Source organism: Homo sapiens, chromosome 19 (genome assembly GCF_000001405.40).
Source record: "Homo sapiens chromosome 19, GRCh38.p14 Primary Assembly".
Lineage (NCBI taxonomy): Eukaryota > Metazoa > Chordata > Mammalia > Primates > Hominidae > Homo > Homo sapiens.
Window position 1 is genome coordinate 29,919,009 of NC_000019.10, and position 24,859 is coordinate 29,943,867.

At 45.7% G+C, this 24,859-nt stretch overlaps 1 protein-coding gene and 1 pseudogene across 8 annotated transcripts in view, besides 4 other annotated features; both read left to right on the forward strand.

Annotated features, from left to right (window-relative positions):
* PPIAP58 (peptidylprolyl isomerase A pseudogene 58) lies at positions 2,127–3,163 on the forward strand (annotated as a pseudogene).
* Positions 4,649–24,859, forward strand: part of URI1 (URI1 prefoldin like chaperone) — a 92,956-nt gene continuing 72,745 nt past the window's right edge. For 4 of the 8 annotated variants that reach the window (XM_005259362.3, NM_001252641.2, XM_047439595.1 and 1 more), the window contains exon 1: positions 4,649–4,746. In XM_005259362.3, coding sequence (XP_005259419.1) covers positions 4,684–4,746 — 63 coding nt within the window. In that variant the 5' untranslated portion in view covers positions 4,649–4,683. Of the gene's footprint in view, positions 4,747–23,230; positions 23,657–24,859 lie in introns of those variants that run through there. The other 4 variants (NR_045557.1, NM_003796.3, XM_005259363.5 and 1 more) reach the window with 1 other exon arrangement.
* Positions 8,808–9,309: an enhancer, noted in NCBI's record as "NANOG-H3K4me1 hESC enhancer chr19:30418723-30419224 (GRCh37/hg19 assembly coordinates)". NCBI's record gives its function as "activates a minimal SCP1, AML or CMV promoter by ChIP-STARR-seq in naive H9 embryonic stem cells {active_cell/tissue: H9 hESC(naive)}" and the evidence as "EXISTENCE:reporter gene assay evidence [ECO:0000049][PMID:30033119]".
* Positions 9,310–9,809: an enhancer, noted in NCBI's record as "NANOG-H3K4me1 hESC enhancer chr19:30419225-30419724 (GRCh37/hg19 assembly coordinates)". NCBI's record gives its function as "activates a minimal SCP1, AML or CMV promoter by ChIP-STARR-seq in naive H9 embryonic stem cells {active_cell/tissue: H9 hESC(naive)}" and the evidence as "EXISTENCE:reporter gene assay evidence [ECO:0000049][PMID:30033119]".
* Positions 22,977–23,066: an enhancer, noted in NCBI's record as "active region_14423". NCBI's record gives its function as "activates an Ori minimal core promoter by ATAC-STARR-seq in GM12878 lymphoblastoid cells {active_cell/tissue: GM12878}" and the evidence as "EXISTENCE:reporter gene assay evidence [ECO:0000049][PMID:35858748]".
* Positions 23,087–23,756: a silencer, noted in NCBI's record as "silent region_10473". NCBI's record gives its function as "represses an Ori minimal core promoter by ATAC-STARR-seq in GM12878 lymphoblastoid cells {active_cell/tissue: GM12878}" and the evidence as "EXISTENCE:reporter gene assay evidence [ECO:0000049][PMID:35858748]".

Sequence of the window (24,859 nt, forward strand, 5' to 3'; positions counted from 1 at the left end):
AGTTAGTCACGATTGCGCACCACTGCACTCCAACCAGGGTGACAGAGGGAGACCCTGTCTCACAACAACAACAACAACAACAACAACAACAACAACAACAAAACCAGTAAGTAACAGAAATTCTTGAGTTTGCAGGATAGCAGATAAGGAAAGAAACAACTTGCTGAAATGCTGAAACTCCTTTCATTCGTAAGATAATAAAACTGGCTGAAATCAGTTGGAACGAATGTGGCCAACTAGAGTCTGTGCAGAACCAGCTTGCTGACATCACAGCCTGAATTTCCATCACGTTTCAGATAACTCCCTCTGAATTTGCACACGCGAACCATAAGTTAGCATGAGAAGATAATCATGAATCCTCAAGGATTCTGCCCATCTCCCTCTTCCTTCCACCAATCACCTGCTAATCCAACCCCAAAACTTGACTAATAAAATGACTGCCTTAAAGCCAGGAGGGAGACAGATTTGAGCTGGATGCATGTCTCCCTGGGAGTCAACTTTTCTTTTTTCCTTTTTGTTGAGAGAGAGTCTCACTCTGTGCCCAGGCTGGAGTGCAGTGAAGCGATCTCTGCTCACTGCAACCTAGGTTCAGGCGGTTCTCCTGCCTCAGCCTCCTGAGTAGCTGGAATTGCAGGTATCCACCACCACACCCAGCTAATTTTTGTATTTTTAGTGCAGACAGGGTTTCATCATGTTGGCCAGGTTGGTCTCAAACTCCAGATCTCACCTGGCTGACCCTTTTAAACTTTACCTCAAATATATAGTGGTGGATCTTTTCGATTTCTGTATAAATGGATTCACACTCTAAATATCCTACTATGACTTGTTTTCTTTCTTTAACAATATGAATAATTGGCCGGGCGCGATGGCTCATACGTGTAATCCTAGATGGTTGGGAGGCCAAGGCGGGCAGATCACCTGAGGTCAGGAGTTCCAGACCAGCCTGGGCAACATGGTGAAACCCTGTCTCTACTAAAAATGCAAAAATTAGCCAGGCGTGGTGGTGGGCGCCTGTAATCCCAGCTGCTCGGGAGATTGAGGCAGGAGAATCACTTGAACCTGGGGTGTGGAGGTTGCAGTGAGCCAAGATCGCACCATTGCACTCTAGCCTGGGCGACAGAGTGAGACTCCATCTTAAAAAAAAAAAAAAAATATATATATATATATATATATATATATATATATATATATATACGTGTATATATATATATATATATACACGTATATATATATACACACATATATATATACGTATATATATACACACACATATATATATATATATATATATATATATATATACATAAAATTATTTTGTCCTGGAGGTTATATTTTGTTTTACTGTGACATTAGTAAAGATACAGCTAGTACAGAAGTCAATGATTTCATGAATATTATTAAATCAAATCTTTACATTAAAAATATGAGTTGGGGCCAGGCGCGGTGGCTCACACCTGTAATCCCATCACTTTGGGAGGCTGAGGCAGATGGATCACCTGAGGTCAGGAGTTCAAGACCAGCCTGGCCAACATGGTGATACCCTGTCTCTACAAAAATACAAAAATTAGCCAAGCATGATGGCAGGTGCCTGTAATCCCAGCTACTCAGGAGGCTGAGGCAGGAGAATCACTTGAACCTGGGAGGCAGAGGTTGCAGTGAGCCAAGATTGTGCCATTTTATATATATATATATATATATGAGTTGGAGCTGGGTGCAGTGGCTCACACTTGTAATCCCAGCACTTTGGGAGGCCAAGGCAGGTGGGTCACTTGAGGTCAGGAGTTGGAGACCAGCCTGGTCAACATGGTGAAATCCTGACTCTACTAAAAATACAAAAATTAGCCAGGTGTGGTGGCGCATGCCTGTAACCCCAGCTACTCAGGATGCTGAGGCATAAGAATTGCTTGAACCCGGGAGGTGGAGGTTGCAGTGAGCCAAGATTGTGCCACTGCACCCCAGCCTGGGTGACAGAGTGAGACTCTGCCTCAGAAAAATAATCTACATATATATGTATGTGTGTATGTGTGTGTGTGTGTATATATATATATATATATAAAACAAGCACAGAAGTCAATGATTTCATGAATATTATTAAGTTAAATCTTTACATTAAAAATATAAGTTGAGTTTTGCACACATCGCCACTGCCTCCAGGGGCCCCATACTATCAGCTATGGTCAACCCCACCAAGTTCTTCAATGAGCCCTGGGGCCGCATCTCCATCCAGCTGTTTGCAGACAAGTTTCCAAAGACAGCAGAAAATGTTTGTGCTCTGAGCATTGGAGAGAAAGGATTTGGTTATAAGGGTTCCTGCTTTCACAGAATTATTCCGGGGTTTATGTGTCACGGTGGTGACTTCACACACCATAATGGCAGTGGTGGCAAGTACATCTATGGGGAGAAATTTGATGATGAGAACTTCATCCTGAAGCAGACAGGTTCTGGCATCTTGTCCAAGGAAAATGCTGGACCCAACACAAACGGTTCCCAGTTTTTCATCTGCAGTGCCAAGAGTGAGTGGTTGGATGGTGAGCATGTGTTCTTTGGCAAGGTGAAAGAAGGCATGAATATTGTGGAGGCCATGGAGGGTTTTGGGTCCAGGAATGGCAAGACCAGCAAGAAGATCACCATTGCTGACTGTTGACAACTCTAATAAGCTTGACTTGTGTTCGTTTTGTTTTGTTTTTGAGACAGTTTCACTCTTGCCATCCAGGGTGGAGTGCAATGTCACAATCTCAGCTCACTGCAACCTCTGCCTCCCAGGTTCAAGTGATTCTCCTGCCTCAGCCTCCTGAGTAGCTGGGATTACAGGTGAGCACCACCATGCCTGGCTAATTTTTGTATTTTTAGTAGAGACGGGGTTTCACCGTGTTGGCCAGGCTGGTCTTGAACTCCTGACCTCAGGTTATCCGCCCACCTTGGCTTCCCAAAGTGCTGGGATTACAGGCATGTGCCACTGTGCCCAGTCGACTTGTGTTTTATCTTAACCTCAAGACCATTCCTTCTCTAGCTCCGGAGAGCACTCCTCCACCCCATTTGCTCACAGTATCCTATAATCTTTGTGCTCTCACTGCAGTTCCCTTTGAGCTCCAAGTTTTCCTTATTCCCTTCCATGCCTAGCTGGATTGTAAAGTTTATGATTATGAAATAAAAACTAAATAACGACAACAAAAAATATGAGTTGATTTAAATAAAAATATTAAGTAAATATTAGTATAGGTGGCAAGCGGATATGGCAAAAAAAATCAATAAAATTTGAATGTGAATGGCTACAATTCAGGAAATATGGTTTTAATAAAAACAGATACAAGCTGTGGCACGTGCTTGTAGTCCCAGCTGACGCGCAGGAGGGAGGAGTGCTTGAGCCCGGAAGTTCAGGGCCAGCCTGGGCAACATAGTGAGACCTCGTCTCAACAACAAAAATGAAAAAAATCAACAACAACAGAAACACAGATACATCTAAAATTGCTCTGGATCTTTGGAACAGGTCTGCCCTGAAGTGGTGTTTTATGGGCCTGGGCACTCTGGCACAAGCCCTTTCTGGGCACAAGGCGAAGTTGATGAGACTCATGCTTACTGCCAGCTTGCTCCAGGCCACTTTCAGCCACCAGCACCATGGCCTTCTGCCTCCTTAGTCTCTGTACCTTCCCTGGGATTTCCCCCAGGCTTGACTCTTCTCCCAACTCCTCTGTGCATGGCCTGAACTTGCCCTTGCAACCTGGCATGGATCAAGCTGGCTTCCTAGTTTCTGCCCCCCAGCTCCATTCACCCTTGGGTACTGGCCTCGCTTCATCACCTCTTTCTGTTATCTACACCCTTTGCCACATCACTTTGCAGTGCCCTGTCAATGTGACTCTGGGCTGGCCATGAGACCTGTGTTGACCAACAGAACCAGGCTGAAGTGACAGTGCACCAGTTCCAGAGGCCCTGAGTGTCTCTATACCATCTTGTGCATTTCTGCCATCTCTAAGATAAGGACGAAATCAGCAGGTCCTAGGATGAGGGTAAAATATGTGGAGCAGAGTTGCCTCAGCCAAGCCTCCAACCTCCAGCAGCACTCCAGCCCTCCCACAAACTCATGAAAAATAAGACATTATTGTTTTTTTTCAGCCATTGAGCTTTGGAGTGTCCATGTATCGGTTAGCTATTGCTGCGTATTTGTTGCACAGCAATAGCTAACTGATACATGGACACAAAGCAGCAGCCCCTGGCCCCCACCCCTGTTCAGTGACTGCTGTACTCACACACAGAGTAGAAAATGCTTGCACAAGTGGGATCAAGCATTTTCCCACTTTCATAACCATGCCCCATGGCGTTGCCACTGATATTGCCCTGCCTAGCACTGGAAAGAGGAGGTAGTGAGGGCAAATGGAACCTCTTTTGCTCAGTCCAGGGAGCAATAGGCAGCTGTCACCCACAAACGACATGGCTCCCACAATCTACTTCCCAGATCATAGTCCTGCCTAGCTGGGACTGGAGGTAGGATACAAGTTAGAGGTGTATTCCAGCCCCAGGGTGCTGGGTGAGGCCTGGGGATGTGTCCCTGCCCACAAGATAGAACTGGAATCTTCACGTCCACCAGATTCTGGGCCTCTCTCCTATGTCACAGATGGGAATTCTTTCCACATTATTCCCAGTGGGTCTTCTCACTCTTTTCCAGGCTCCTTGGAGGTCACTGCCCTGATGACAACATGGTCTTCCCTTCAAGGAAGCCACGTTTCTAAGAGGGCTCTGGCATATGCATTGGTGAGTTGAAGCTTGACAGTGTTATAGCTTCTCTGCTGTTAGTGTGAGGTTTGAGGATTTTACTTTAACCACATGGATTAGTCAGAGAAACAGAATGAACAAGATACAGATGGCGCTGTAGACATAGCTATAGACCTGGAAGAGGGGCTTTATAATGGAGATTGGCCTGAGTGATTAGGAGCCTAAGAAGTCCCACAGTATGTCATCTGCAGGTTGAAGAGCCACGGAAGCTGATGGTATCATTCAGTTTGAGCCTGAAGTTCTGAGAACCAGGAGCTTCAACGTCCCAGGGCAGGAGAAGGTGGATGTCCCAGGTCCAGAAGAGAGTGAATTTGCTTTTCCTCTGTCTTTTTGTTCTATTTGGGCCCTCAGTGGATTGAATGTTGCCCACCTACATTGGTGAGGGCAGATGTTTTTTACTCGGTCTACTGATTCGAGTACCAATCTCTTTGAAAACACCCTCCCAGATGCACCCAGAAATAATGTTGCACCTGCTATCTGGGTATCCCTTAACCCAGTCAAGCTGACAGCTAAAAGTAACCATCACACCACACTTTCACAAACACCTGGGTGCTTGCGGACTCACCTTTTACAATGGTTTTACCAGCCTCCTCCACAAGCACAGGCAAAGTCAGTTTCAAGGACAGGAGCCCCCCATTGTTGCTCGGTGTACTGGCGATCTAAACAAACACGTGCATTATAGGGGGTTTCTGTCATTTTTTAGCCACCTCGCTTTCATCCCTGGTCCTCATGACCCCTTGATTTCTTTCTGAGGAATTCCCTCCCTCCCACTGTGAGAACAGAGGGGCCAGGCCCTCCGTCTGTCTCCCAGCTCTAGGAGAGCCAGGGGTTGAGCCCCAGGCCAGAGCTCAGCCAATCAGAGGCTGTCCTGTGAGCAAGTGATACCGGGACTGATGGGATGGCTGGAGTGTGTGTTGCACAGATGCAACAGCAGCACACTGACCAGACCATGCCCCTGTGAGAGCCGGGGTGGGGCTCCACTGCTCCCTAGGGCTCCCAGGAGCTCTGCCTGCCCTCAGCTTCCTGTCCAGGCTCTCTGAACCCCCTCTTATTATTTTGTTTAATTTTTAATTTTTTTTAGATGAAGTCTCCCTTTGTTGCCCAAGCTGGAGTGCAACAGTGTGATCTCGGTTCACTGCAACCTCCGCCTCCTGGATTCAAGTGGTTCTCCTGCCTCAGCCTCCCAGGTAGCTGGGATCACAGGCATGCACCACCACGCCCGGCTAATTTTTGTATTTTTGGTAGAGACGGGGTTTCACCATGTTGGCCAGGCTGGTCTCGAACTACTGACCTTAGGTGATCCCCCTGCCTTGGCCTCCCAAAGTGCTGGGATTACAGGCGTGAGCCACCACACCTTGCTGCACCCTCTCTTGTTGATCCTTCTTGCTTGGTTAGGCAGAGACAGCCTCCAATTCTTGCAGCTACAAGGCCCGCACATGAAGGACAAAATGTTTTGGTTAATAATGTCTTCATGTGTGTAAGTCCTGTTTTTGTTTTCCAGTTGAATTGAGAGTTCCTTTTGGGCAGGAACTCTTTTTTCCCTTTGTCCTGGGTCCGGTACTTGGCATGCAGTAGATTCTAGGGCAGAGCTGGAGGCAGGGGGAGGCTGCCTAGAGCCAGAGGGCTTGTGTGTGAGGTCCGCCCCTGCACTCACTCACTGGGGGACCTTGGCTGAGTCCCGCGGCATTTTCAGTCTAGACATTGCATCAATTAAACAGGTGTGATGCTTATAATGATCACCCTCCTTCTTGGCCTCAGGGCCTCTGTGAGGTTTTAATGAATGAAGGCTGAAGAAACTCCACAGAGATGGTGACTTTCCCCCAGCACAGCTCTTGCCCTCAAGGAAGAGACACTCGACCAAACAGGCAACTGGAAACAGGATGGCTTCGTGGGCGTGTGTGACTTACACAGGGCTGTGCACTCAGAAGAATCCCGTGACTGACTTAGGCTCTGCAGCTGCCATCTTGAAATTCTTAATAACTTTTGAATGGTGTTGGGGGTGGGGTTGGAGGGGATGGTCCACACTTTCATTTTGCACTGGGCACTACAAATTATGTGACCGGCTCTGATTAAAATGCTACAAGAACTAACATGAAACTGGACACAGAAACCAGACCCCAGAGCACATACCGTATGAGTCCATTGGTATGAAGTTTAAAAACAGATGGCACTAGTCCAAAGGATTGGAAGTTGGAATAGTGGTTACCAGGACTGGGGGGAGGAAGGGATGGTGGATGGTGAACAAAAGGACCTTGGAGGGCTCCTGGGGTTCTAGGAATCAATCTTCCTTCTTTCCTTCCTTCCTTCCTTCCTCTTTCTCTCTTTCTTTCTGTTTTTATTTCAATAGGTTTTTAAGGAACAGGTGGTGTTGGTTACATGAATAAGTTCTTTAGCAGTGATTTCTGATATTTTGGTGCACCCATTACCCGAATAAAAATCTTCTCTCTTTCTTCCTCTCTCCTTCCTTCCTTCCTTCCTTCCTTCCTTCCTTCCTTCCTTCCTTCCTTCCTACCTTCTTTCCTTCAACAGAATCTTATTCTGTTGCCCAGGCTGGAGTGCAGTGGTACAATTATAGCTTTTTGCAGCCTCAACCTCCTGGGCTCAAGTGATCTTCCTGCCCCAGCCTCCTGAGTAGCCAGGACTACAGGAATGTGCCAACATGCCTGGCTAATTTTAAAAAATTTTTTATAGAGAAGAGGTCTCACTATGTTGCCCAGACTAGACTTGAACTCCTTCCCTCAAGTGATCTTTCTGCATCAGTCTTCCAAAGTGCTGGGATTGCAGGCATGAGCCACCTCACCCAGCCTTAGAAATGTTCTGTTTCTTGACCTGAGAGCTGGATATACAGGATTGCTCACTTTGTGAAAATTCGCTAAGGATTTGTGCACTTTTCTGCATATGTGTTAAACTGCAGTACAAGGTTAAAAGAAAATGTGTGAAACGACCTATACATTGCAAAGGAAAGGCCAGGGTGTTGAGCTTGACCCACCTTGGGGATGCTCAGAGAAGGCTTCCCTGGAGAGGGGTCTGGGTCAGGTCCTGAAGGAGGAGCAAGGGATGGGGGTTGGGAAGTTTTGTGGCTCCCTACCAAGGGATGACGTGCCTGTCTGGCAGGAGCTAGGCTCATGCATGGCTCGGGAGAGCACCTGCTTGTACTGAGTCTGGCTCTGCCTGGGAGCTTGAGGATGCGAATGAATTGGAGACACAAAGACCAGCTTGTGGGGGCCGTGGACTCCACTCTCTGGGCTCGAGACTCCAGCTGCAGTGTGGAGGACAGCCTGGGGTGGGAGATGGGAGGCAGGGAGACCCTGCAGAGGCTACTGGACTTCCCAGGTGAGCAGTGATGGTGTCTTGGGCTGGGGGAGTGTAGACAGGAGAATGGATTCTGGAGACTTTATTCCAGTGGTAGCTGTGGTGGTCTTCACATAGGATCACAAATTCCTTGGCATTTGTCCCATCAAGAGATGAAGTCTAATTTCATCCCTCTTTTTTTTTTTTTTTTTTCTGAAATGGAGTCTTGCTGTCTTGCTCAGGCTGGAGTGCAGTGGTGCAATCTCGGCTCACTGCAACCTCTGCCTCCCAGGTTCAAGTGATTCTTCTCCCTCAGCCTCCTGAGTAGCTGGGATTACAGGCACATGCCACCACACCCGGCTAATCTTTTATTTTAGTAGACACGGGGTTTCACCATATTGGCCAGGCTGGTTTTGAACTCCTGACCTCAGGTGATCCACCTGTCTCGGCCTCCCAAAGTACTGGGATTACAAGCATGAGCCACTGCACCCGGCTTTTTTTTTTTTTTTTTTTTTTTTTTGAGACAGAGTCTCACTCTGTCGCCCAGGCTAGAGTGCTGGAGTGCAATGGCGTGATCTCAGCTCACTGCAACCTCCACCTCCTGGGTTCAACCAATTCTCATGCCTCAGCCTCCCCAGTAGCTGGGATTACAGACGCCTGCCATCATGCCCAGCTAATTTTTGTATTTTTAGTAGAGATGGGGTTTTGTTATGTTGGTCAGGCTGGTCTCAAACTCCTGACCTCAAGTGATCTGCCCACCTCGGCCTCCCAAAATGCTGGGATTAGGCGTGACCTACGGTGCCCGGCCTAATTCCATCCCTCTTGAATGTGAGCTGGCCTTAGTGACTTGCTTCTGATGAGTAGAATGTGGCTGAAGGGATACTACACGACACTCCAGGCTAGATTAGAAAAGGCCATGCCACTTCTGTCTGGCTCCCTTGGAACTCAACAGGCGTGCTGCAAAGAAGCCCAGGCTATAAGGCAAGGCCACATACAGGTGATCTGGTTGACTGCCCTACTGAGATCCCAGGTGACAGTTAATCTCAAGTCCAGATATGTGCAAGCAGAAGTTTTCAAGATGACCGCAGCTGCATGAGCCTCTGAATGAGAGCTGCCCGGCTGCCTGGCTGGGAGCGGTGATTTTTGCCACTGAGTTTGGCTGGTTTGCTAGCAGCAAGAAAACAGCAGCCTAGGCTGTTTCGAGGAATCACTAGAGAAGCTTAAAAACTTCCCACCGCCCAGGTCACGCCCAAGCATTATTTTTCGGAGCTCCCAACATGCATCCAAGGCTGAGAAGGAGTGCAGGAGGCCAACCCTGAGGCCCCTGAGCCTCAGTGGAGACAGCAGTCTGGGCCGATGTCACGAAACGCCCCTTTCCTTTCCACCACCTCCCTTCACTCAGCTCTCTTTTGTCTCCGCCCACTTGTTTCCATCTTCAGTTCCTGGTAGATGAAAGGGATCCATTTAAGTGGCAGGGACTTTGAAATCAGTGTGTCAGTCCCTGATGCTTGTTTATTTTCAAAGCAACATAGGAGAATGGATGTGGAGGGGAAGCGGGGAGGCTCTCAAGGGCAGTAGTGGGAATAGGATTGCCAGATAAAATACAAGAGGCTGTATTAAATTTGAATTTCAGATAAACCATGAATTTTCTTTTCGGTAGAAGGGTGCTCCAAATATTACATGGACATACTTATACTAAAAGATTACTTGTTGTTTATCTGAAATTCAAATTTAATCGAATGACCTATATTTGTATTTGCTAAACCTGGCAACTCTAAGTGTGAAGCCAGGTCAAGGTGACACCCAGAACTCATTTAGGGACATTTGCAGACTCCCAAGTTCCTTCACCAGCAAAGTAGGAAACCTCTCAGGAATCCTCAGGCTCTTCCTCTTATTTAGAGAAAGTGAGGCTCCAAGACAGGAAGTAACACATTCAAAACAGGCAATTCTTGGTTTGCACATTATCATGGTCACTAAACACATGTATACTGAAACCGTGTTCTTGCTTTGCTGCTATGAATATTTGCATAGAGGTTTTTGTATTGACACAAATTTTCAACTCAGTTGGGTAATGCCTGGGATTGTGATTGCTGGGTTGTATAAGTCTATGTTTGACTTTGTAAGAAACTGCCAAACTGTCTTCCAGAATGGCTGTACCATTTTATCTTCCCACCAGGAATGAAAGAGAGTTTCAATTTCTCTACATCCTTGCCAACATTTATTTTCCATTAATTAAAAAAAAATTTAAGGCTGGGTGCGGTGACTCATGCCTGTAATCCCAGCACTTTGGGAGATTGAGGTGGGCAGATTACTTGAGGTCAGGAGTTGGAGACCAGCCTGGCCAACATGGTGAAACCCCATCTCTACTAAAAATACAAAAATTAGCGGGGTGTGGTGGCAGGTGCCTGTAATCCCAGCTACTTGGGAGGCTGAGGCAGGAGAATGGCTTGAACCCAGGAGGTGGAGGTTGCAGTGAGCTGAGATAGTGCCACTGCACTCCATCCTGGGCCACAGAGTGAGACTCCATCTCAAAAAATTAAAGAAATAAAATAAAAAAATAAAAAATAATAGCTATCCTAGCAGCTGTGAGATGGTCTGTCATTGTGATTCAGATTTGCATTTCCCTAATAATTAGTGATATTGAGCATCTTTTCATGTGCCTATTGGCCATTTGTATATCTTCTTTGGAGAAATAGCTATGCAAGTTCTTTGCTCATTTTGGGGTTTTCCATGAAACTCCTACAACTCAATGACAACAAAAAAACAGTGCAATATATATATGCTTGATATTAAACCCTTATATATAAGATACAAGATTTGCAAGTGTTTCTTCTCGTTCTGTGTGTTATCTTTTCACTCTCTTGACAGTGTCTCTTTTTTTTTTTTTTTTTGAGACTGAGTTTTGCTCTGTCTCCCAGGGTGGAGTGCAGTGGTGTGATCTCAGCTCACTGCAACCTCTGCCTCCAGGGTTCAAGTGACTATCCTGCCTCAGCCTCCCAAGTAGCTGGTACTACAGGTGCCACCCAACACCAGGCTAATTTTTTGTATTTTTAGTAGAGATGGGGTTTCACCATGTTGGCCAGGCTGGTCTTGAACTCCTGACCTCAAGTGATCTGCCCACCTCATCCTCCCAAAGTGCTGGGATTACACGCATGAACCAATGAGCCCGGTTGATAGTGTCCTTTGATGCATAAAAGTTTTTAATTTTGATGACATCCAATTTACAGTTTTTTTCTTTTGCTACCTGTGCTTTTGGTGGCCTATTTGAGAAACCATTGCCAAATCTAAGATCATGATTGCCCCTATGGTTTCTTCTGTGTTTGACTTTAGGTCTTACGTTCAGGTCTTTGATCAATCTTGAGTTAATTTTTATTCATAGTGTAAGGCAAGGGTTCAACTTCATTCTTTTGCATGTGGATATCCAGCTTCCTTGGCACCATTTGTGTTTTTTTTTTCCTTTTCCATATATATTCTTCTTATGTAAGGCACCATTTATTAAAGAGACTGTCCTTTTCTTATTGAATGGTCTTGAAATTCTCGTCAAAAATCAGTACGCGAGAGGGTTTATTTTCTGGGCTCTTTATTCTAGCCTATTGGACTATATGACTATCTGAGACCACAATGTTTTTTGTTTTTTTTGTTTTTTGAGACAAAGTCTTGCTCTGTCATCCAGGCTGGAGTGCAGTGGTGCGATCTCGGCTCACTGCAACCTCTGCCTCCTGCATTCAAGTGATTCTCGTGCCTCAGCCTCCCAAGTAGTAGACAGGAATACTACTAACTGCCACCATGCCTGTCTTTTTTTTTTTTTTTTCTGTAGTTTTAGTACAGACAGGGTTTCACCATGTTGGCCAGGCTGGCCTCGAATTCCTGACCTCAAGTGATCTACCTGCCTTGGCTTCCCAATGTGTTGGGATTACAGGCATGAGCCATCTGCCTGGCTTCATAGTATTTTGATTACTGTAGCTTTGTAGTAAGTTTTGAAATCAGGAAGTATGAGACCTCCAACTTTGTTCTTCTTTTTCGGTTATTTTGGTTATTTGGGGTCTCTTGAAATTCCATACAAATTTTAGGACCAGTTTGCCTACTTCTGCAAAAAAAATGCCATTGGGATTGGATAGGAATTGCACTGAATCTGTGGATGGCTTTGGAGAACATTGTTGTATTAGTCTGCTTGAACTGCTATAACAAAATACCATGACAGGTGGCTTAAACAATAGAAATTTATATTCCTCACAGCTCTGGAAACTAAGGATCCATGATGAAGGTGTTGGAAAAGCCAGTTTCTCATGAAGTTTCTCTTCCTGGCTTGTCCATGACCACCTTCTTACTATGTCCTTGGATGGTCTTTCCTTGCATGCAGAGCAAGAGAAAGCTCTCTGGTATCTCTGCCAGGATAGGGACACTAATCCTATTGAACCAAGGCCCCACCTTCATTTAACATTAATTACTTCCATAAAGGCCCTATCTTCAGAAACAGTCCCATTGGTGGTTAGGGCACTGACATATGCATTTTGGAAGAACACTAACATTCAGCCCATAACAATTGTCATCTTAACAATATTGTCTTCCAATCCATGAAGGCAAGATGTTCTTCTGTATATTTCTGTTTAATTTCTTTCAGCAGTGTTTTGTAGTTTTCGATGTACAAACTTGCTCCTCCTTGGTTAATTTTTTTACTAAATATTTTATTCTTGATGTTACTGTACATGGAATTGTTTTCTCAATTTTCTTTTCAGATTGTTGTTTCCTACTACTTAGAAATATATATCCTACTATATAGAAACTGATTCTTGTGTGTTGATTTTGTATCCTGCAGCTTTGCTGAATTTATTAGCTCTAACAGTTGTGTGTGTGTGTGTGTGTGTGTGTGTGTGTGTGTGTTGGGTGGGTATTCATTAGGATTTTCTACATATAAGATTATATCATCTACCAAGAGAGATAATATTACTTCTTCTTTTCTAACTTGGCTGCCTTTCATTTCTTTATCTTGCCTAGTTGCTGTGACTAGAACTCTTAGTACTACGCTAAATAGTAGTGGTAAAAGTGGGCATCCTTGTCTTGTTCCCAATTTAGAGGAAAAAAATCTTCAGTCTCTCATTATTATGTTAGTTATGGGCTTTTCTTATATGGTCCTAATAACGTTGAAGAGGTTCGTTTCTATTCCTACTTTACTAAGTGTTTTATCTTGATGTTGGATATTGTCAAATGCTTTTTCGGCATCATTTGAGATGATGATTATGATGATGATGATGATTATTATTATTATTTGAGACACAGTCTTGGTCTGTCACCCAGGCTGGAGTGCAGTGGTGTGATCTCAGCTTACTGCAACCTCCGCCTCCCGGGCTCAAGTGACTCTCCTGCCTCAGCCTCCCAAGTAACTGGGATTACAGGTGTCTGCCACCGCACCCGGCTAATTTTTGTATTTTTAGTAGAGATGGGGTTTCACCATAATGGCCAGGCTTGTCTTGAACTCCTGACCTCAGGTGATTCACCTGCCTCGGCCTCCCAAAGTGCTGGGATTACAGGCGTGAGCCACCGTGCCAGGCCCATTTGAGATTATTATGTGGTTTTCCCCCCTTCATTCCTTTTTTTTTTTTTTTAGACTGAGTTTCCCTCTTGTTGCCCGGGCTGGAGTGCAGTGGCACGATCTTGGTTCACTGCAACCTCTGCCTCCCGGGTTCAAGCAATTCTCCTGCCTCAGCCTCCTGAGTAGCTGGGATTGCAGGTGCCCATCACCACATCCAGCTAATTTTTTGTATTTTTAGTAGAGACAGAATTTCACCATGTTGGCCAGGCTGGTCTCGAACTCCTGACCTCAGGTGATCCACCCGCCTCAGCCTCCCAAAGTGCTGGGATTACAGGTGTGAGCCACCACACCCGGACTACATCGATTTATTTTTATATGGTGAATCACCATTGTGTCTCTGGAATAAATTCCACTTGTTCATGGTATATAATCTTACAAATACGCTGCCAAATTCGTTAGTATTTTGTTGAGAATTTTTGTGTTTATGTTCATAAGGAGCAGTGGTCTGCAGTTTTCTTTTCTCTCAGTGTCTTTGTCTTGCTGGCCTCATAGAATGTGTTCTTTCCTCTTCAATCTTTAGAAGAGTTTGAGAAGGATTTGTGTTACTTCTTTAAATGTTTAGTAGAATTCATCTTGAAACAATCTGTTCCTGCGCTTTTTTGTTGGAAACTTTTTGATTACTGATTCAATATCCTTACTTGTTATAGATCCAATCAGATTTTCTATTTCTTCTTGAGTTAGTTTTGGTAGTTTGTGTTTTTCTAAAAATTTGTACATTTCATCTAAGGTTTTCTGATTTTTTGGAGTACAATTGTTTATAGTATTATCCAATTTATTTCTGCAAAACAGTACTGTCTCACTTTCATTTCTGATTTTAGTAATTTGACTCTTTTCTCTTTTTTTCTTAGTCAATTTTGTTGATCTTTAAAAACATCAACTTTTCACTGGGTGTGGTGGCTCACTCCTGTAATCCTAGCACTTTTGGAGGCTGAGGTGGGTGGATTGCCTGAGCCCAGGAGTTCAAGATCAGCTTGGGCAACACGGTGAAACCCTATCTCTACTAAAATACAAAAAAATTAGCCAGGCATGATGGCGTGTACCTGTAATCCCAGCTACTCAGGAGGCCGAGGCAGGAGCATTGCTAGAACCCGGGAGGCGGAGGTTGCAGTGAGCCGAGACTGTGCTACTGCACTCCAGCCTGGGCAACAGAGTGAGACTCGATCTCTTTAAAAAAAAAAAATCAACTTTTATTTTCATTGATTTCCTCTATCATTTTTCTGTTTTCTGTTTTGTTTTTCTCCACTCTAATCTTTGTTATTCCTTCTTTCTTTTTCTTTTCTTCCCTTTTTTTTTTTTTGAGATGAAGTCTTGCTCTGTCACCCAGGCTGGAGTGCAGTGGTGCCATCTCGGCTCAGTGCAACCTCTGCCTCCCAGGTTCCAGTGATTCTCCTGCCTCAGCCTCCCAAGTAGCTGGGATTACAGGTGCCTGCCACCACGCCCGGCTAATTTTTGTATTATTAGAAGAGACGGGGTTTCACCATGTTGGCCAGGCTGGTCTTGAACTTCTGACCTTAGGTGATCCACCTGCCTTGGCCTCACAAATTGCTAGGATTACAGGCATCAGCCACCATGCCTGGCCTTATTCCATCTTTCTGCTAGCTTTGGTTTTAGTTTACTCTTCTTTTTCTAGTTACCTAAGCCACATAGTTAGGTTATTGATATGTTAGTTTGCTAGGGCCATGATAACACTTTATCACGAAGTGAGTAGCTTAAACAATAGAAATTTATTTTCTCACAATTCTGGAGGCTGGAAGTCCAAGATCAAGGTGTCAGCAGGGTTGATATTTTCTCAGGCCTCACCCCTTGGCTTGCAGATGCTGCCTTCTCACTACAATCCCACGTGGTTTTTCTTATGTGTACACACATGCTACTGTTCAGATCTCTTCTTCTCTGTTATGACATGAGGTCTTGCTCTGTAGCCCAGGCTGTAGTGCAGTGGTGAGCTCATAGCTCACTGCAGCTTCGACCTCTTGGGCTCAAGCAATCCTCCTGCCTTAGCCTCCCAAGTCGCTGTGACTACAGGCATGTGCCACCAAACCTGGCTTATTTTTTTTTAATTTTATTTATTTATTTATTTATTTTTAGAGACCAGGTCTCACTATGTTGCTCAGGATAGTCTTGAATCCTGGGCTCAAGTGATCCACCTGCTTTGGCTTCCCAGGGATTGGTAGCATAAGTGCTGGGATTACAGGCATAAGCCAACATGCCCATATTATTTTCTTACTTTCCATCCTTTCGAATCTTTTGATCCAAAGTAAGTCTCTTGCAGACAGCATATAAATTAATAATTTTTAGAAATCCATTCTATCAATCTCTGCCCTTTAATTAGACAGTTTAGTCCATTTACATTTAAAGTAATTACCAATAAAGGATTTAATTCTGCCATTTATTTAATAGCTATTTGCTTTTCTGTACATTTTTTAAATTTTGTTCCTCAATTCCTCCACTACTACATTTTTTTGGTATTTAATAGATTTTAGTGTATCATTTTGATTCCTTTTTTCTTTCCCTGTCTGTATATTTTTTAGTTATTTTCTTAGCGGTTGCCTTGGGGATCACAATTAGCATCTTAAATTTATAACACCCTAATTTGAATAATACTAACTTAGTTTTAAGAGTATACAAATACTTTGCTCCTATACATCTCTTTCCCTCCCTCTTTATATTATTATTGTCCCAGATCATATCTTTATACATTCTGTGCCCATTAACATAGATTTATAATTATTGTTTCATGCATTTGCCCTTTAAATGATAGGTGAAAAACAAAGTATTATGAACAAAACCTACAATAATACTGGCTTTTATATTTACTGATGTATGTAGTTACTATTTTTATCAGTGTTCTTTTTTTTTCTCATCATGGCTTTGAATTACTATCAAGTTTCCTTTCATTTCAGCCTGATGGATTCATTTTAGCAGCTCTTGTAGAGCAGGGCTACTAGCAATGAGCTTTCTCTGCGTTTATTTATCTGAAAATGTCTTAATTTCTCCTTTATTCCTGAAGGATAGTTTGTCTGGTAGGAAATTCTTGGTTGACAGTCTTTTTTTTTTTTTTCCCCAGGACTTTAACTGTGTTATTCCACTGCCTCTGGGCCTCTGGTTCCTTTTCTTTTCTTTTCTTTTCTTTTCTCTTTTCTTTTTTTTTGAGATGGAGTCTCACACTGTCATCCAGGCTGGAGTGAAATGGTGCCGTCTTGGCTCACTGCAACCTCTGCCTTCCAGGTTCAAGCAATTCTCCTGCCTCAGTCTCCCAAGTAGCTGGGACTACAGGCACCCGCCACCACGCCTGGCTAGTTTTTTGTATTTTTAGTAGAGACAGGGTTTCACTATGTTGACCAGGCTGGTCTAGAATGCCTGACCTCATGATCCACCTGCCTTGGCCTCCCAAAGTGCTGGGATTATAGGCGTGAGCCACTGTGCCCGGCACTTAAAAAAAATTTTTTTTTGAGATGGAGTTTTGCTTTTTTAGAGTTTTGCTCTTGTGCCCAGGCTGGAGTGCAGTGGTGCAATCTTGGCTCACTGAAACCTCCACTTCCCAGGTTCAAGCAATTCTCCAGCCTCAGCCTCCCAAGTAGATAGGATTACAGGTGCCCACCACCGCATCTGGCTAATTTTTGTATTTTTAGTAGAATGGGGTTTCGCCATATTGGTCAGGCTGGTCTCGAACTCCTGACCTCAGGCGATCTGCCCACCTCGGCCTCCCAAAGTGCTGGAATTACAGGCCTGAGCCACTGCACCCAGCCCCTCTATGGTTTCTGATGAAAGCTTAGCTATTAATGTTACTGAGGACTCCTTGTACCTTACAAGTTGTTCCTCTCTTGCTGCTTTCAAGATTCTCTTTTTGTTTCTGATTTTTGACAATCTGGCTGTGAGTTTCAGTATGAATCTCTGAGTTTCTCGCGCTTGTAATTTGTTAAGCTTCTTGGACGTGTATGTTCATATCCTTCATCAAATTTGGGAAGTTTTCAGCCATTATTTCTTCAAATTTCTTTTTCTGTCCCTTCCTGTTCCTCTTCTCCTTCAGGAACTTCTACTATGCATATGTTGATATATGCTTGATGGCATCACATGGATCTATCAGGCTCTGTTCATTTTTCCTTTTCTTTTTTTTGAGATAGAGTCTCACTCTATTGCCCAGGCTGGAGTGCAGTGGCATGATCTTGGCTCACTGCAACCTCCTCCTTCTTGATTCAAGTGATTCTCTGGCCTCAGCCTCCCCAGCAGCTAGGGTTACAGGTGCGCGTCACAATGCCTGGCTAATTTTTGTATTTTAGTAGAGATGGGGTTTCACCATGTTGGCCAGGCTGATCTCAAACTCCTGAATTCAAGTGATCCACCCTCCTCGGCCTCCCAAAGTGCTGGGATTACAGGCATGAGCCACCATGGCCAGCCTATTTTTCGTTATTTATTTTTCTCTCTTTACAACTGGACAATTTCAATTGCCTTATCTTCAAGTTCACTGGTTCTTTCTTCTTCCTGATTCTTCAGATCAGCTTTTTGATCTCTCTAGTGAATTTCTAAGTTCAAGCTATTGTACTTTTCGGCTCCAGGATTTCTATTTTGTTCCTTTTTATAAGATTAAACTATCTCTTCATTGGCCTTCCCTATTTGTTCATATATTATTTTGGTTTCCTTTAGCTCATTGGGTGTAAGACAGTTGATTTAATGTCTTTGACTAATGTTTCCAATGTAAAGGCTTCCTTGGGGATGGCTTCTATTGAATTCTTTTTTTCCCCCTGTGAATAGGCTATACTTTCCTTTTTCTTTGTATGCTTTGTAATATTTTGTTGAGCACTTGGCATTTTGGGTATTATTGTAGTAACTCTGAAAATCAGATTCTCCTCCTCTTCAGGGATTGCTGATTTTTGCTTGTTGAGGGTTGCAGCCATCTGTTTGTTTAGAGACTTTTCCAAACTATGTTTGCAAAGTGTGTAGTCCTTATTGCATGTGGTTACTGATGTTTTTGTTTCATAATCTTTACAGGCAACCAGTGACCTGGAAATGATATCTGTAAATTTCTGGCTACAAAAAGGTGTTCTTTACTTTCAAATCTCCTGATGGATGCTGCCATAGGAAGCACAAGAGGGCTGAAACCAATACAGGAGTCTGTGCTAATCCCTCAGGACTCAAAAATGCCCCAATTTTTGGAGGACAAGGGTCATCTTGCCCACCTTGCAACCAGCCAGCCATTCCAGGAAAGCTATTCCTGCAGCCTCATGGTAGGGTGAGGGCTGAGAAATGGGGCATGGCAGCTGTTTTGCATCCACCCTGTTGCTGTTCTCTTACCAACAACCAGCAGCCTCTTTTTTCATCAAGAACTCCCCTGGCTGTTTATTCATGTCTCATGAGGTTTGCCTGTCTAATTTTTTGTATCTTTAGTAGAGATGGGGTTTCACCATATTGGCCAGGCTGGTCTCGAAATCCTGACCTCAGGAGATCCATCTGCTTTGGGCTCCCAAAGTTTTGGGATTACAGATGTGAATTATTGTGCCCAGCCAAGGCTGGGTAATTTGTAAAGAAAGGAGGTTTATTTGGCTCGCAGTTCTGTGGGCCATACAAGCATGTGGCACCAACACCTGCTCGGTTTCTGGTGAGGCCTCAGGAAGCTTCCAATCATGGTGGAAGGCAAATGGGGAGCTGCACGTCACATGGCAAGTGGAAGTAAGAGCTAGGGAGCAAGAGAGGAAGGAGGAGGTGCCAGGCTCTTTTAAACAACCAGCTTTCATGTGAACTCATTACTGCAGAAGAGCAGCAAACCATTCATGAGGGATCCGCCCCCAAGACCCAAACACCTCCCACTAGGCCCCACTTCCAACATTAGGGATCACGTTTCAACATGAGATTTTGAGGGAACAATATCCAAACCATGTTAGTGGCCCTCTATTGACTCCAACATCTATGAACAGGGCTGGTGCTTGCCTTGGTCAACTCTTGTCTCCCATTCCCAGTGGGGGGCCTGGCACATGAAGAAGGGATTAACCAATAATAAGTAATAAAGTAATAAGGTAATAAAATAATATTTACTTTTTTTTTTTGAGACAGAGTCTCACTCTGTCACCCAGGCTGGAGTGCAGTGGCACCATCTCGGCTCACTGCAAGCTCTGCCTCCCGGGTTCATGCCATTCTCCTGCCTCAGCCTCCTGAGTAGCTGGGACTACAGGTGACTGCCACCACACCTGGCTAATTTTTTGTGTTTTTAGTAGAGATGGGGTTTCACCATGTTAGCCAGGATGATCTCGATCTCCTGACCTCAGGATCTGCCCACCTCAGCCTCCCAAAGTGCTGGGATTACAGACATGAGCCACTGTGCCTGGCCTACCATTTTTTTTTTTTTCTGAGAGGAGTTTCACTCTTGTTGCCCAGGCTGGGGTGCAATGGCATGATCTCGGCTCACTGCAACCTCCACTTCCAGGGTTCAAGTGATTCTCCTGCCTCAGCCTCCCCAGTAGCTGGGATTACAGGCATGCACCACCACACCTGGCTAATTTTGTATTTTTAGTAGAGGTGGGGTTTATCCATGTTGGTCAGGCTGGTCTTGAACTCCCGACCTGAGGTGATTTGCCTGCCTTGGCCTCCCAAAGTGCTGGGATTACAGGCGTGAGCCACTGCGCCTTGCCAATTTTTTTTTTTTTTTAGACGAAGTGTCATTCTGTTGCCCAGGCAGGAGTGCAGTGGCATGATCTCTGCTCACTGCAACCTCTGCCTCCCAGGTTCAAGCGATTCTCCTACCTCAGCCTCCCGAGTAGCTGGGATTACAGGTGTGTGCCACCACGGCGGCTAATTTTTGTATTTTTAGTAGAGATGGGGTTTCATCATGTTGGCCAGGCTGGTCTCAAACTCCTGACCTCAAATGATCCGCCTGCCTCCACCTCCCAAAGTGCTGGGATTACAGGCATGAGCCACTGCGCCCGGCCAAAGCTGATCATTTGAAAGTGTGATAAGTGCTACAAAGAAAATTTAAAAAGTGAGGTGAGGGCAGATGCCTAGAGGAGAGGGGAGGGGCTTTTGTGGACAGGAGATCAAGAAAGCCCTGTTATTATTTGAACTGAGGCCTGAGTAATGGCAAGGAGGCAACCATGGAAAGATATGGGAGAAATATTGCAGGCAGAGAGATCAGCAGGTGCAAAGGCCCTGAGGCAGGAACTAGTCTGGAGTATCTGAAGAAGAGAGAAATTGTTGTGGTTGGCTTGAGTGGTAGGGGGCTTGGTTGGAGGTGGGGAAGGTGGGTCCGACAATGCTGAATTCTAGTAGGATGTCTGGATTTGATTCTGGTTGCTGTGGGAAGCCATGGAGGGCCCTAGAAGGGAGACTGACATGACCTGATCCCCTTTGAAAAGCTCACCCAGACTGCTGAGTGGATAATAGTTTAGAGGTGTGCGAATTGGATGTCTTTGGCTGCTCATGATAGAAAATTGTCCTGGTCATTTAGAAAATTTACTGGCCTTTTAAACGGGAAGTTCAGAAGTGATGCAGACTCCAGAGCTGGTTGATTCAGCCCTGGATCAAGTTCTGTGATGCTGTCAAGGATTGGGTTCTGTTCTCAGCTCTGCTGACCACAGATCGCACTTCATTCTGAGTACTGGAGTGTCTAGGTGGTCTGGGGGGCTGTCTGATACACATGGGGCTACCTGCTTTGCACTTCCTGGCCAAGGGGATAGACTGATTCCTTATGGGAGCACTTTTGAAGAATGAGGAAGAACCTTCTCAGGAGAGGCGTGGTGGCTCTTGCCTGTAATCCCAGCACTTTAGGAGGCCAAGGCGGGTGGATCACTTGAGGCCAGGAGTTTGAGACCAGCCTGGCCAACATGGTGAAACCCTGTTTCTACTAAAAATACAAAAATTAGCCAGGTGTGGTGGCACGCGCCTGTAGTCCCAGCTACTCAGGAGGCTGAGGCAGGAGAATCGCTTGAACCCAAGAGGCAGAGGGTGCAGTGAGCCAAGATGGCACCATTGCACTCCAGCCTGGGCAACAGAGGAAAAAAAAAAGAACCTTCCCAGAAGCCTCCAGGAAGTCTCTGTTTGGACGACATCGCACACCCATTCTTGAACCAACTATTTAGAAGGGAGATGCATCACCCCCTTTGCCTGGAGCTAGGGGGTGGGTCAGCTTCCTACAGGCACAGGACTATGTGGTCGCGGGTTAAGCCCCTAAACGAGGGGAAGTGGGGTGGGCAGCAGCCGATCTCCATTACAAGGGACAAGAGTAGGGGCAGCAAGGCCAGATCAATGGTTGCTGAGGTGGCTGGGGATGGAGAGAGGATGGTGGTGGTAGAAGAGATGGTAACAATGGTCAGGTCCTGGCTGTTCCAGAGGTGATGATGGTTGGATATGCAGTGAGGAAAAGACAGGAATGAACATTTATCTTTTCCCAAGTTGTCCTTGCTTTCTTCCTTTGAAGCCATAAAAAGGAAAAAAAGGGTGGATCTGGACTTGGGAGCTGGGCAGGAGTGAGGGAAGAGAAGCAGAGCAAGCAGGCACACCAGGCTGTGACTCTGCAGGCATCTCTCTGCCTAGACTTGTCTGTATGATGTGGAACGAACACGACCCATCTTTACTGCTAGCGACTGCAGCAGATAAGGCAAGGCCACTTTCACGCAGTTAGGTTAATAGGAGGCTGTACAAAGGGCTGTAGGAGGAAGTGGGCACAGGAGTTCTAAAATAATTGGAACGGCCAGGTGTGGTAGCTCACACCTGTAATCCTAGCACTTCAGGGAATCCAAGACAGGAGGTTAGCTAAGACAGGAGGCTCGCTTAATGTCAAGACCAGCCTGGGCAACATAGGGAGACCCCGCCTCTACAAAAAATAGAAAAATTAACAGGATGTGTTGGTGCGGGCCAGTGGTCCCAGCTACTCCTGAGGCTGAGGTGGGAAGATCGCTTGAGTCTAGGAGTTTGAGGCTGCAGTGAGAAATGATGGCACTACTGCACTCCAGCCCGGGCGACAGACCAAGACTCAGTCTCTTAAAAAAAAAAAAAAAAAAAAGAAAAGTGGGGGCAAAGTTATCCTTGGAAAATTTCTTAGTCCATTCATAGCAGCATATTAAAATTAGTACAGTAGCTTAATTTATATAAGAGAAAATACAATGTGTACAGTAATTAATGAACATGCAAAATATAATTGTATATTTCAACTCACTAAAAAGGCACAGAAAGAGTTGAATTTGCTAAAATTAAATGTGCTTATGAAACAGCTCTAGTACATGAATTAAGCTCCTAGATACAGATGCAGCGCCAAACGACGGGGAGGGAGATGGGGCACTCAAGGCGACACGCGGCTCTTGTTGCCGAGCGTTTCCTGGGCGTGGAGCTTCTATAGAATGTAAGCTTTTTTTTTTTAAGGTTCCAAAGCCTATATTTAGTGCTTTCATATACGTAATCTCAAAAAAAAAAAAAGAAAGAAATATCGGCATAAAATGTAAGCTTCCAGAGGGATACAAACGCAGCCCAGCGCGGACACCGCCAGCCCCAGCCACGCGGTTCGCATCAAGCGCACTCCCCTGGGGGCGGGGCCTGCGCGAGCTGGGCGTGTCGGGGGCGGGGCCTGCGCGCTTGCTTCCGGCGTGCCGCGAGAGGCGGGGCGTGTGGGGAGGCGCGGCCGCCACGCGACGCCTGGCTGGGCCCGCACCGGAGAGGCGTCTCGGTACCTGGCAGGCGGCCTGCTACTCGGAGCCCGCTGCGGGGCGGCGGCGGCGGGGACATGCACGTGTGAGATGCGGCAGCGGGCGGCGCGGACGCGAACAGCAGCGGCGGCGGCGGGCGCGGCCTCCTGGGCGCGGGGCGCGCGGTGCCTGAGGGCGGGCGCGCGGGCGCTGGGCAACTGCCGGCCGCGCCGCCTGCGCAGGCGCTGGTTCAGGACTCACACGCCGCGCTGAGGCCCGCGGGCCCGTCATGGAGGCGCCCACCGTGGAGACGCCCCCCGACCCCTCGCCCCCTTCGGCCCCGGCCCCTGCCCTGGTTCCGTTGCGCGCCCCGGATGTGGCGCGGCTGCGCGAGGAGCAGGAAAAGGTAACTAGCAGCCCCGCGCCGCTTCCGCCTCCGCCCGCCGGGCTGCCCCTGCCTGTGCTCTGGGCCGCCGCCCCGCGTGGCCTAGGCCCAGCTGCCCGGGCCCCCGGAGGGAACGGGGATAAACTTTTGTCACGTGCTTCTGTTGTCTTTGTCTGCAGCCCTTTGACTTCGCAGCGGAGTGAGGGGTGTGCAGCCCGTTCGCCTGCCCAGGAAAGGGGGCTTCTGAGCTGAAGGCGTGCGGCAGCGCGTGGGAATTTGGGGGCGGGGGCAGCACGCTGTCAACGGAAGCGTTCGCCTTAATATTTGTAGCTTGTAATGACCTAAACATTGCTTAAAATGTGTACTGTTTGTTGCTCTTTGATTGCACGGAAAAGTTTTACCGCGTTTGTCATGATAATGCTTCCTGTGCAATATTTGGTTATTTAATATTTGTCACAATATAATGCCATTTAAACATTAAAAAAAAAAGAGAGTCTCACTATGTTGCCCAGGCTAATCTCGAACTTCTGGCCTCAAGCGATCCTCCCCCTCCTACCCTTCCCCACCTCGCCTCCCAAAGTGTTGGGATTATAGGCCTGAGTCACCGCACCCGGCTCATTTTTACAAATTTTAATTTCATCGTATAATAAATGAGTTTTAAACTACTGGTGAAAAGGGTACAAAGTTTTGTGTTTCCTAGTGGGACTTTATATAAAGAAGTATTCCCAATTTAAGAAATAGTTTTATTGTTAAATCTGATTTTTCTGTGGATTCTGTGGTCTTTCAGATTGATTCTGTCCCCTCAAGTGTCTTGAAATTGTTACTTTGAAAAGCAGTATTTAATTTGCTTAAAATATTTTATGTCATGTTTGGAAGAGCATGGATTATAAAGGGTTAGGAAGTTGCTTCAACACTATAAGCAGTTTAAAAGTTCTTAACTTTTTAATTGAACATTCCTGTATAAGAACGACTGTTTACATAGATACAAAAATATACTCAGTTCTACTAGATGGGGGTTTTGATAGAACTTAAAAAACCCTCGTTTGCTTGGAAACCACCTGTTGGGATGAACTGCGGGAATCTTTCTTTGTTCTGGTTGGTTTAAATTATTTTGTGGGTTGGATTTTCATTTCTCAGCCATTTTTCTCTAATAACGCAACTGTTAGGTTTGGAAGCCATGTTTTCAAGATGAAGGTTTAAAAATCCAGTGGCTAGGGTGGTGAC